A 13497-nucleotide genomic window follows, 5' to 3' on the forward strand; every position below is an offset into this window, starting at 1 on the left:
GTAAGAGGTGGGCAAGGCTAAGACCCAGAGTTAAAGCTGGAGTGTACACTAACAAAAGAAAGGTGGTGGACAGGAATGATGAAGACTAAGAGTGAGTGTATGACCGAGCACATGGCTTTATGTGAAGTCAGAAAGCTGTATAATGTAAAGCAGTTAGCAAGGAAATAAAATATAAAGAGAAGGGAAGAAGAAAGTCCCAATATTATCATTTATCTACAACAATGCAGAAATATCCTTCCAGATACCTCAGCCATTGCCTCCATTTGGCTCCTGATCCAACCACGAAAACAAACCCATTCTTGGTGGCTCTCAGAGACTATGCTTGGAAAATCCAGTTGCTTGTTCAATGAGTACAAAAAAATCTATTTAATGGAAATATTTATTGATCACCTACCATGTGTCTGGCATTGGTACCAGGAAGCTAGGCTGTGTTGGTGGGCAAGACAGATGCCATGAGCTCTTCCTTCATGGAGCTTATGGGGTAGTGAGGAAGATGTACATTCACCAAAGACTTATACAAATATGTCACTAAGACAGCAGTACGTGCCATGAGGTAGAAGTGAAGGGATCTATTAGAGCATTCAGCAAGGGAACTTCACCCAGCGAGGGAGCCAACATCAGGAGAATCCCAGCAAGGTCTGAATCTGTACACTTTCTGGAGACAGAGACTTTGTCTTCTCACTCAAAATCTAAATCTGTAGCCTGGGGAGCCACCTCTTCTTCCTCAGCTTTATCCCAAGCAGTCTCTGTCGATCTTATCATTAAGGACTTTTCTTCCCCCCATCTCTCAGCTGGTTTATTTATTTCACTATTTGCTATTTACACTATTTCTGTTTGATTCTCTACCTTCTAAGTGGTTCCTCAAATAAGGCAAGGTTCTCTATCTTTCATTGGCCTTTTAAACCCTAGTTTCATCTGGTCCAACTATGTTCAAAATTATCTCTGGGGGAAAATATGGGGAAATTGGCCTCTTTTGCTACAATCTGCTAAAAACCTTTTCTGTCAGCAAAGCCAGTTGTAAATTGCCAAAAAGGTGATGAATTAGTTAGAAATCATTAACATTTAATATAAAGTAGCTCTCACTCTCACCTTGAATTTCAAAGGTGAGTGTGGGTGATAGACTACAGCTGTGACACAAAATTGCAGCTCTAGTTTGGGAGTAGTACAGTTTTGATCCAGGAGAAAGGCCTAACCAAGAAATGGCAAATAAGAGGCAGGAATGGTGCCACTCCTAACCCCTTGCTCACAGCAGATATCAGTAATCCATTTCCATAGTCTCTCTCACAGGCCCAGACACACCTCAGGAGCCTTCTCACGCAGCATCTGTCAGCCCCGGAATGAAATCTTGTTCCTACTGCAGCAACATATGGTCAGTCCTCTGCTAGTCTAACCACCACCACTGTCCTCTTCACTGCAGGATTGGAGATTAGCAACTGGAAAAAAAAGCCAGCTTCTTGGGGATGTACCTTGCAAATCCAACAAAGTACACCCCAATCAACATGTCAGCTACAACCAGCATCCCAAAGAGCGGGCTCCCTTCACCAGTACACATATGTGCACCTCTCAGGTATGTGCACGCTGAGAGAACACGTGAGCGCAGCGGAAAAGAGCAATGCGGGAACCATCTCAAATACCCAAGTCATGGCAGGCACCAATGGGCCTGTCCCTCTTGCTCAAGGCATGTGCCAGTGGTCTGTCCTAGTCCCAGGAATATCCAGAAAACTGATGGTGAACCTGGTCAGAAATACCAGGGAAATGGTAGAAATGAATGAATGACTTTATTTCTTGGCATTGGCTCCAGTTGAGACACCATGAGAACACGCAATCAAGCTAACAAGTTGGGCAAATTGACAGGAGATGCACAAGTGTGAGTCCCAGATGTAAAAGCTGTGATTCTGAGGCTTGCCAATCATAAAAACCCCTGAGTCAAAAAGTTAAAAGCTCAAAAGGTATAAGGATAGTGGTCTTCAATTTTTTTCTTTAAATATTACCCTTTACATTGAAGAAATATAATATGGACAACCACTAAAAAATAAAGGATTTCTGTCACACATTAGAGAAGTTTCTCAATTTATTTTTTCATGTGATTTACGACAAATGTGTGATCTCACAAGAGCATAGTTCTGAAGGTAAAATATGTCATAAATTACAGGAACATAGAGTTCCCTAACTCATACTCAGAAGGAAGTCCACTTTCATGAAGTAAAGTATAGGACTGTCAGACCAGATGACCTGGAATGATTTGTTTTAATTTAATAAAAGTAATGACATCTTTAATGAATTTTCACATCTGCCTACCATTAATTAAGAGCCTGAATCTAAGAATGTAGTATCCAACACACTGATGATGATTCTTTCCAATGATGAGAGAAGAACATGCAAAGTTATCATCTGAAATGTAAACAGTATTTTTTTAAAAAAAACACCGGTATTTGACAGCCCTAAATATAGCTTCCACAGTATTACATCAGAAATCCTTGGTGAGCAATACCAGAAAACAAATTCAGAAAAAAACCAGATGAAGGCCGGGCGCAGTGGCTCGCGCCTATAATCCCAGCACTTTGGGAGGCCGAGGCAGGCAGATCGCCTGAGCTCAGGAGTTCGAGACCACCCTGGGTAACATGGTGAAACCCCGTCTCTACTAAAATACAAAAAGTTAGCTGCGCATGGTGGTGCATGCCTGTAGTCCCAGCTACTTGGGAGGCTAAGGCACGAGAATCACTTGAGTCTGGGAGGCAGAGGTTGCGGTGACCCGAGATCGCACCACTGCACTCCAGCTTGGGCTACAGCGTGAGACACTGTCTCAAACAAACAAACAACCAGATGAAAGTAAGAGAGTGATGAGAATCTTTGTGTGCATGAAAGAAAAGTTACTTAATACAAAAATATTTAGTGGAGCTCAAAAGCAACCTTTTGCTTCCTCCAAGGGATTCTACAGCTGTTGTGGCATATGGTGAACACCTCCCAAAGTCAGGGTCTCTTCAGAGGCCCTGTTTTCTTTCCCCTAATTGCCCCGTGCCTATGAATTAGTAGTTTCTTCATAAGCCACACAGACATTATTTTTGTGTAGATTTATTCTCCTTTTGACTAAATCCAGACAAAAGTTAACAGGACTTTTCAGTATCATTAAGGCAGGGAGAGAAAAATGAAAGGAAAAAAAATCTGCAACTTGCAAAATCAAAGCATTAAGATTTTTCAAAAATTAAATACCATAGCTATAATACTTGGAGACTACCATCCATGAAGGCACTCAATTTTTCCTCAAAAGGTAATCTTGGTACTAACAGAAAACCAATGAGAGACAGCTTATTCAAATTAGCTCTCTTAAAATGCCATGCAATTATCAACATCCATCATTATTTTTCAAGTAGATACAAAAATGTATTCAGTTACTAATTTTCAAAAAAATCAATGTTCCTTCCTAGCCCTGGCCTGAATCACTGATTCTCAATTTTTTCTCAAGCCACCCAGAATGAGATAGAAATGAGGCATTCCCACCCACAAGGGATCTAAAATAGAGTAAGGGTTTGCCTAGATGGGTGAAATCTATATGGGTGGTCCCAATGCAGAGCAGTCCTTTGACCTTCCAGTCATGTATCTGGATAGCTAACTTCTCTGGTCTCACCTTCTCACTCCCTGCCAAGTTCGGCTGATGCAGTTCATTCATACTTTCTGTGCATTCTGTGCCCCTGGCCTAGAACCTCTTCCCACCTTCCGTGTCTGGCAAGCTCCTGCTCATCCATTCTTTGGGGTCTGGATCCACTCTCCCTCCTCTGTCCTAAATCCCTCCCTCCTCTGTAAAGCCTCTCTGAATGCCAAAAGGATAACTTCCTCCTCTTTTCAAATTTTCCACAAAGATAGCTAAAATCTCTCTTGTATCATGTTCCAGGTCCTCCAAATGTTTGAAGGTAGCTCATCCTGATGTCAACAATAAATCTCTCAGCAAATTTAATTTGTGCTCTTGTCCTGTCCACAGTAGAATGAATTCCTCAGTAAGGCTCAGGCATTCATTATACCCTCCTAGTTAATCAAAGTTCTTATTATGTCTGGGCTCTGGCTTCTTTTGTCTAGACATAACAGATCCACTTGCTCTAACTCTTTTTCCAAGAGGAGCTCCTTCCAAAATCTGTGTGGTCCTCCAACCCACAGTAGCAGCATCACCTGAAAACTTGTTAGATATGCAAATTCTTGAGCCCCAACCCAGGCTTACTAAATTAGAAAGTCAGGGTAGAGCCCAGTGATCTGTGCTCTAACAGCCCTCCAGGTGATTCTGATGCAACTAAATCTTGAGAACCGCTGATTTAATTTCTCTTCAAGCTATTCCAAGGTACACATTACTCAGAAAAATGCCAACTAGGGCAGGCAGGGAGGGCAAGTAATGATGCCCTTCCCACATACTCTGGCTTCTGCGAGACCCCTCTGGGTTGTATTCATTGCCTCCATTGCAGCACGGGGTGGGTTCAGCCTGGGGTTCACTATGGCTCTCTGACATCTTTGTTGAAGGCCAGCCCTCCTTCATTTTGCCTTTGCAGATTTAGAGAGATTTTTCCTCCCCAAGTGAGTTTCTTTATATTTAATCCCATTTGAATTTTCTGTTTATATGCATTCACTTTTCCAACTTGCCTAGTACATTCTGCATTTTAGTCCATTTTCCAAGACACTTGCCACCCCACTTATTTTAATATCAATGACACATTTAATTAGAAGATGATTTATTCCAGAAACTAAAACATTATTAACGATATACCGCATAACACACAGAAGATACCTGGGGATCAGTGGCACAGAAAACCAAGAAAGCCTTTACAGTGTGCTGTTATTTCAGTCTATTTTTGGTGAATATATTAAACACCCTGGCAGTGCCAACCAGTAAAAACAAACCAAGAGAGCAAGCCTGTGAGAGCCAGTAGGACGTAGAAAGCTTCTCAGACACTGCATCCTGTGCTCCATTTGTCATTCTGTGTGTGGGATGGACATCCGGTCCTCCTCCTCTGGAAAATCCACAGCCACAGGCTCACATGAGCTGTTCCTTTTCTCTTCTTTCTTGCAGATTCTCCATGCTTTCAGCCTATTTACACTGGGCTCACAGCTCAAAAAAGGGCAAGAAAGTGATTATGTAAACTCAGACGGAGAGAAACTCAAGCTCCTTTAGGCAGTCTACTAACAGTAGGGCGAATAAATAGAAAATACGATCATATAAAGAGGATACAATACTGAGAAGAGTAAGTTTGGGGGTAGTACAGATAACTAGAATTAATTATATCAAGCAAAGAACAATCTGTAGGCAACTGCATCTGAGATGTGTCCCCAAACTGCACTAAAATCATAACATTATTTTTGGATAATCTTCTAGCCACCTGAGAGTACCATGTTTTTTTTCAAACATGGCATTTTAAATAGGGAACTGCAGACAATAATTCTTAAACCAGAAAAATATTTGAAATTTTATATTAGGGAAAAGAAACACATTGATAGATCATGATGATCTACACTATGGCTGATCAACTTGAAAGTGTAGCTCACCATGATCTATCAGTTTGAACATACCTCATTTGTTCCCACAATTCCCAGCTCCCTGCTGTTTCCCTGACCTGTAACTGCTCATCTCCGATGATCGTGGAGTTGAGAGGCAGCGGGGCATAGTGGAAGGAGTGCTGGCTCTTGAGTCAGACTTACATGGATTGAAAGCTTACTTATACCAGCTGTGTAATCCCAAGTAAGTCATTTCATCTTTTGAAGTCTCTGTTTCCTCTTCTGTAATGATATCACCAATACCTAAAAAGGAGGACTATTGCCAGGATTTTAAATAATATACACAAAAACAGGTAGGAAGCATCCAATAAACATTACTCACATATTTGGCCTTTCAAAAATTAAGACAATGTAATAAAACATCTGCCTTTATAGAAGCATCTAAGTTTCCCTTTCCCTCCAGGAAGGAAAGGAAAGAAACTTTTTCTTCTGCTTCTAATTATTCCCTAACTCCCTGCATTTTCTTTTGGTAAATTATTCCAATTTTTGTGTCCGGTTATGTTTTAATACTTAAATGTCTATTTCTTTTGCCAATAGTTATGCAATACAAGTATATGTGATTTTTACAGTTAAGTCAGTGTCCAAAACAACAACATAATTAAATCAAATTAAGTAACATATTCCTAATGCTGCTTATTTAACATATATTAAATTTTTATATTGAACCCGAGAGCTGTTTCATAAAGTAGCTTAAATCTCTGCTTTGCCTTTTCTTATTTGATATATTTTAAGCACAAAATTTCTAAAGATTAATACACCAAAAACATTAAACTAAGAATCCCAGTGATGTAGTGCTATATTTCATAGTTTACCTGAAAGAATTACAGTTTTAGAGATGGAATTTCATAGAAGTGGTACTTCTGAAGTCCTGTTTTTCTAAGGAAAGACGTTATGAAGGCGAGAGGTCAGTATCTGGGCTGATTTTGACATGTACAGAAGGCTATTCTATCTCAGCTTGCAAATGATTCTAGAATTAACAGATACACATTTACACTGGCAATTGGAATGAAACCTATGGGCTCCATTGAGATGCCACTGCTTATATAATCTTCTTGATCCTTGACAAGTAAGAAATTTGAAGAATTTGTATTGGTTTTTCTGAACTGTTTGGTTGAACTCTAGAGGTAAGCAGAACCCCAGTGTCCTAAAATAAATGATTATTTACTTTGGAAGAAAAATATCTTTCTTAGATTCTTAGACATCTTAGATTCCTTTTGACTCTCCTTTTGACTGTATGGACATGGAACAAGTTCTTAAAATAATTATTTTATTTTCATCTGAAATTTCTTCTCTTGCCTAGAAGCCCTAGCTTGCTCTAGTGACTCTTAATTTAAGCAATATTGCAGTCTAGTAATTTTTTCTTTATTGTGTTGTGTCTGAGGAAGAAATATTTAAATTGGTGTCTTTTCCAGTTCCTTGATGGTTCTTTACCACACCCAGGGCCAATAAAATATTGATGCAATGGTAAAACCGAAGACAATCTAATGATTCAGTTACTCAAAACTGTAAAAAGCTTTTGCCAAGTAACAGTATTTAGAAGGACAACTCAATACGTTATAGGGGGTAGATTGACATGCAAATATCCATCACACTTTATTAAGCAAATTAAAAATAGATTTAATCTTTAATATGTGTCCCTACAGTATAAAATTTACTGGATTCAATTGTTGATTATGTGCTCAGCAGTTTGGCTAATTACCTTTGGCAGATGCTTGATGCATATTAATTTGGGATCCCATGTCAATTGTAACTGTCTTTGGTTTGTAATCTAGCCTCTACTTCGCATAGCTGAGCAACAATACGGGTGTTCACTTGAAATGCAACCTCAGGCAATTCTGTAGGAGGCACAAGGTGGTTTCCTGGGAAGATCCCTGCACTATGGGGTGGGAGCCTGGATTCTCATGTTCAGCAGCCACATAGGCTGGTTATTTATGTCACATAATCCTGCCAGGCACATCTGCTGCATAGGAATGCCATGTGAGTAGGGGAGCCATTATTAATTACTACCACAGGGGACCAGAAGGGGAAATAGCTCCTTAAGCACATTTCTGGAGTAGCCCCTAACTAACAGTTGTTTGAAGGAAAAATATTAATTTGATAAAAACACTTTAGGGAATTAAAAAGCATGATGATCCTAAATGTTAGTGAGATTGTGGAGCAACTGGAATTCTCATACATTGCTGGTGGGAACATAAAATGGTACAACCACTTTGGAAATCAGTTTGAGAGGTTCTAAGAAAGTTAAACATGCATTTATAGTATGATCCAATAGTTCCACTCCTAGGTATTTACATTAGAGAAACAAAAACACAAGTAGACACACAGCCTTATTCATAAATGTTTATATAACACCTTTATTCATCATAGCCCCAAACTGGAAACAACCCAAACACCCACCAACAGATGAATTCATGAACAATATACCATATTCATATAAGATATGGAAGGGAATACTATTCAGCAATTAAAAAAAACTGAACTACCAAGGCATGCAACAAAATGAATGAATCTCAAAAACAGTATGCCAAGCAAAAGTAGCCAGATACAAGAAGAGTACATATTGTATGATTCCATTTCTGGACTCAGACAAATGAATCCAGAGTGACAGAAATCAGGGTAGTGGCTGTCTAGGGCAGGAAGTTGAGGGGAAATTGATGACAAAGGAGAGGAGGGAACATTGTGGAATGATGAGAAGGTTCTATATCTTGATTATCGTGGTGGTTTCACGTGTGTACACATTTGACAAAACTCATCAAACTCTGTGTTTAAAATGGGTTTATTTTATTATGTGTAAATTATATCTCAATAAAGTTGAATGAAAAAATGAACACACACACACTGGGAAAGCAGTGACAAATATGAAGTTGAAACACCCCAGGCTGGCTCTTAGGTGCTAACAAGGTGGTAGTCCTTCTCAGACTGGTGCCTGTTTTGGGGGTAGCTCTCCCACCAAAGTTGAGGTCCTGACCTAATTCTACTCACAGGCTGATTCCTTTTTACAAAAGCCTTGCTACACCTCTGTGAGAATGACAATGGATATGAAAGCACTTTACAAACCAAAAAGTGCTACATCCAATCAACAAAGATGGCTAATGCTGAGGCTCCTTGTCTACCTGCTTGGTGTCCTGGCCTGCCCTTATGGCAGCTTTCCCGGAGAAGAAAAAAAAATGATGGAGAGACATCCTTCCTGGGCCTCCAAGTAGACCTAGAACCTGCAAGCATTTCCCTTCCCTCTCTCGTTTCTCTCCTCAGCTGAGCTCCTCTCACTTCTCAGAGCAACAGTCCTTTGATAACCTGTAGAGGAATCATGAATAAATGGATATAAAGACAGCCTTCCTTAACACACACACAATTTTTAAAATTAAATTAATTCTTCCTTGTGGCATCATAACTAAGAGCTCGGGTCCCAGGGTCAGACTTCGTGTGTCCAGAGACCAGCTCCTCCGCACTTGCTGGCTGAACCTATAAAATCCTTTAGCTTCTCTGTGCCTCAGCTTCCCTGTTTGTGAGAGAGGGGTGGAAATAGTACCCACACCACAGGCTGATAGGAAAATTAGTCAATGTCCTTAATACAGTGGCCGGCCCAGAGTAAGAAAGTAACAACTGAGAGCTAGAAATCCTACGGGATATTTTTGTTCTGACTCCCCATCTTCTCTCTGAATTTTCCTTAGGATATCAGACAGCATTTTATCAACTCCACAGAAACCCATCCGGACTCTAGAGTCTGTAAGAGGAGGAAGTTCCCACACACACTCAGCCTACATTGGAACTTTTCTAAAAATACCAGTTTACATAGGATAAAATGGTGGGGCACAGCCACACCTTTAAGTTTTAGTTTCCCAATCTGAGTTGATGGTGTTATATTTTATCTATACTTACTTGAGAAGCCTGTCAAGTGTGCTGTAACTGTATGAATAGACAGAAAGGTCCAGCCACATGCCAGGGTCGAGAAATGTAGAAAATTGGGTGCTCTAACAAGCCAAGTAGGGAATTAATAATATATTTAGAATTACTAATAAAATGCCTGTCAAGCAAGTGGCAATATGTGCTCTACAAAAAAAAAAAAAAAATGACTGCCTGCTGTGTAGGGTGCGCACTCTTCCTGAGAAGTATATATTCTTGGAAATAAAATGATTCACTCCCAGATAAAACTTCTGTTCCCTGGCATTTTTCCCCTAATTTTTCATTCATTTGTGTATTTTTTTTACATCCCCTCATGTAGCTCCACCAACCCTCCCAGACGTCAGTGGGTCAAGCAGCCTCCCAAGGCAACCTTCTGCACCTGGCTCACAGCCAAGCATCCATGTCTCAAAGTCCCGTCCGGCAGGCTTCCTCTTCTTCCTCCTCATCCTCCTCTTCTTCAGCTTTGAGCGTGGGCCAGTTAGTCAGCAGTAAGTATCCTTTCTGGCTCGGTTTAAATCGTGGTGGCCTTCTTGTTGCCTATTTGCAATGTCTTCCTTCTTGTCTCTCTCTCACTCTCTCTTGCTCTCTCTTTCTCTCAACCCTGCACAGGAATTTCCTGGCACTGCTAGGTCAATATTGAGATGAAGTCCGTCCCCAGGACCAGATGGTTCCTTAGGGAAGCAGGTCCCCAAAGCACACTCCCTGAATTAGTGGCTATCAAGGACCGGGTTCCATCTTAAGTAGTTGCTGATGTGCTGAGTCAGTCCTGCCACTTCAGAAGGTAGCAACTGATCAGCTTTCAGGGCATGAGCCACATAGCTCACAACTGAAATAACCAACAACAGGCACTCAGCTGGCAGGTCAAGCTGCTTTTATGTGTGTTTGAAGTCCCCTGCCATTCTATTTGTAGGTGTCAGAGGAAATAAAAGAGAGCATGCCTGTGGGCGGGTGGGTGTGTGTGTACAATAAGCCACCTCAAGTGGCATGTGGGGGAAGCTGCATGGGCCGGAATCAGATGAGAAATCTCTGAACAACCATTCATAAAATAGGATAAGCCTGCAAGTCTGCCTCCCTAAATAGCCTATATATATGTATATATAGTTTTTAGAATGGTATTTGGCCCTAGGGATAGATAGTATATTTATCACATGCAAATAACAGCATGTTAAGATGGATGGGACAATGGTCTGATTTAATGTCAGTCACGTTTAGTGCAGTTTTTACTTATATATAAAACTGCAGAACATGTGCATAGATTGCAATTCACCAGGGACCAAAAATCCAGTAGCTATGGGTGCCTGCATAGGCATCTGTGCCATAAAATGAGGACATGTGAGGATCTGTGTTTGGTCAAGTGTCATGAATGACCTGTTATAGCAGGAACAGTAGGATCCTCACATATCATGGGGCAATTCTTAAAACAAAATGGATGGTTGCCATGACCTCCCCGACAAGTAATCCTCCTCAAAAAAGAAAAATAATTACATACATATATGTCTATATTCAATTATACTGATAATTAAGGCAAGAAAGATGCTTGTGGGTGGGGAAGAAAATGGAATGAGGCATTATGGAAAGATGTTAAAATGCCCAGGTAGGCCGGGCACAGTGGCTCATGCCTGTAATCCCAGCACTTTGGGAGGACAAGGCGGGCAGATCACCTGAGGTCAGGAGTTCGACACCAGCCTGACCAATATGATGAAAGCCAGTTTCTACTAAAATACAAAAATTAGCCGGGCGTGGTGGCATGTGCCTGTAATCCCAGCTACTCAGGGCGCTGAAACAGAAGAACCACTTGAACCTGGGAGGCAGAGGTTGCAGTGAGCTGAGATCGCACCATTGCACTCCAGCCTGGGCAGCAAGAGCAAAACTCCATCTCAAAAAAAGAAAAAATGCCCAGGCACTTCACCAGACTAACCTGGATGCTGTTGATCTTAAAGATGGGTCAACACCAGAGTTTCAGGATACATATGCATTTTCCATCAACTGTATTTTAGGTTGTTTAGATATACAACCCTCTCCAGAAACTCTAGTCTGACTTGCATAAAGTTAAGGATAAAGTGAATTTAATTATAGCCAGATTTCCCCTAATTAAAAAAAAAAACTTTTCCTCGGGAAGAGTCAAACTTTGTTACAATTCAATATTCTGTATAAGTTTCTGCAAAATACTCCATTTCTAAATGGCAGCAAGGTCATAAATTTAGGATAAACTGTTAAGCTTTGGTCCTGAAAGAAAAAGAACCAAAGTTAAGCATCTTACAGAGAAGAAATAAGTTAAATATGAAAAAGAAGTACAAACAACCTCCTACTAATACAGTGTTTCACACAAGGTAAATAGTTAACATGTGTAAGATGGACAGAAAGATGAATGAGTGGATGGGCAGACAGCAGACAGTCAGATGGATGGAACTGGGTTCTCTCTAGTCACTTGTCACAGCTGGGCAGTGAAGGATTAGCCTTTTTCAGAAATCAATAACAGAGATACTTTAATGGGCCAGATAGAACTTTCATTGCACAGTAGCCAGTGGGACATATAAGTTCTAGGTTTATGATGAGTGAACCATATTACATATCCTCGGTATGAAATATATAGACGTGGGAAAGAGAGACTCTTTTACCACATGCAATTGAAGCCGGAAACTTCAAACCCATATGCAGAGACTGAATGACACCAAGCTAGCTCCACAGTTGTCTCTGCAGGCCAGGAGAGTCTAACAGTACCACTAGGGGTCGCACTTTGCCCTAACCCCTTGCTGGACTTGAGTTGCCACAAATTTTGAGCATGTTGTTTAGTTAAATCCCTTCTGTCTCAAAAGCAACTACAGAATGAATAGTACATGAATCATATCACTCTGGTTCCATAATTTGCTATGATGGCTCACAGAACTCAGAAATACATCTACTTGTTTACTATAAAGGATATGATAAAGAATACAGATGAACAGCTAGATGAAGAGGTACGCAGGGCAAGGTCTGGAAGGATTCCAAATGCAGGAGTTTCTGTCCCTGTAGAGTTGGAGTGCACCACTCTCAGAATGTGGATGTTTTCACCAACTTGGAAGCTCTCCAAATTCCATACCTTAGTGATTTTTGTGGCAGCTGCATCATGTAGACATGATTGATTATTAACTCAATCTCCAGCCCCTCTTCTCTCCCTAAAAATGGAGGTGGGGCTAAAAGCTTCAAGCTTCTAATCATAGCTTTGTCTTTCTGATGACCAGCCACTATCATGAAGCTATCCAGGAGCCCCTAAGAGTCACCTCATTAGAACAAAAGATGTTCCTATCATCCAGGACATTCCAAAGGATTTAGGAACTCTGTGTCAAGAAGTGGGGTCAAAGACTAAATATTAGAACAGAAGATGCTCCTAGCACCCCTATTTGTTAGGAAATTATAAGAGTCTTATGAGCTCTGTGCCAGGAACCAAGGATGAAGACCAGGGATATATATATATATATATATATATATATATATATATATATATATATATATATATATATATATATATATATATAAAATAAGATATATATATATCTTATTACATCACAATATCACCAAAACTTTGGTCAAAACCATGGCCAATGACTCCTCCACGTCGTTGTCAAAGACTGTCATCCTAGTGTTGGCTAACCTGCCATATGCCAGATGAACTAGAATAGGTGGATCATACAAAAGTCTTGCCAACTACAAGCAAGAGAATGCTGGGTTAATACCTTAGTAATGATACAAGATGTTCATATGCAAAGAAAGCACGTCTGGGCTCAGAATTACCAAACATGCAGATTATTAGAAAATCTGCACAATACTTATTTATAGCACCTACACACCTTGCCTTGTGTTAAACCTTGCTCAGTCTCCATAATCATCAGAGGTGGATATGGTTTTTATAAGCAGGGTTTTCAGAAAATCAGAAGAAAAGTCAAACAAGTACTTGACAAATGTCCCAATTAGGTTTAAGATTTACAGTGCACTGTTTAGAAATAGGTAGGTTTAGGGTTTTGATCACTTGCTGGATTTTTTTCCAGTATACATTTTCTAAACACCTAAGCTCTATCCTTAGAC

At 40.3% G+C, this 13497-nt stretch overlaps 1 protein-coding gene and 1 long non-coding RNA gene across 6 annotated transcripts in view; one reads left to right on the forward strand and one right to left on the reverse strand.

Moving 5' to 3' along the window:
- POU6F2 (POU class 6 homeobox 2) overlaps nucleotides 1-13497 on the forward strand; it is a 490693-nt gene that overhangs the window by 463870 nt on the left and 13326 nt on the right. For all 5 annotated transcript variants that reach the window (NM_007252.4, NM_001166018.2, NM_001370959.1 and 2 more), the window contains one exon: nucleotides 9755-9923. In NM_007252.4, coding sequence (NP_009183.3) covers nucleotides 9755-9923 — 169 coding nt within the window. The remainder of the gene's footprint in view (nucleotides 1-9754; nucleotides 9924-13497) is intronic.
- The window catches only part of LOC105375238 (uncharacterized), a 58176-nt gene that overhangs the window by 25499 nt on the left and 19180 nt on the right, over nucleotides 1-13497 (reverse strand). The window lies entirely within an intron of this gene.

Source organism: Homo sapiens, chromosome 7, assembly GCF_000001405.40.
Source record: "Homo sapiens chromosome 7, GRCh38.p14 Primary Assembly".
NCBI lineage: Eukaryota > Metazoa > Chordata > Mammalia > Primates > Hominidae > Homo > Homo sapiens.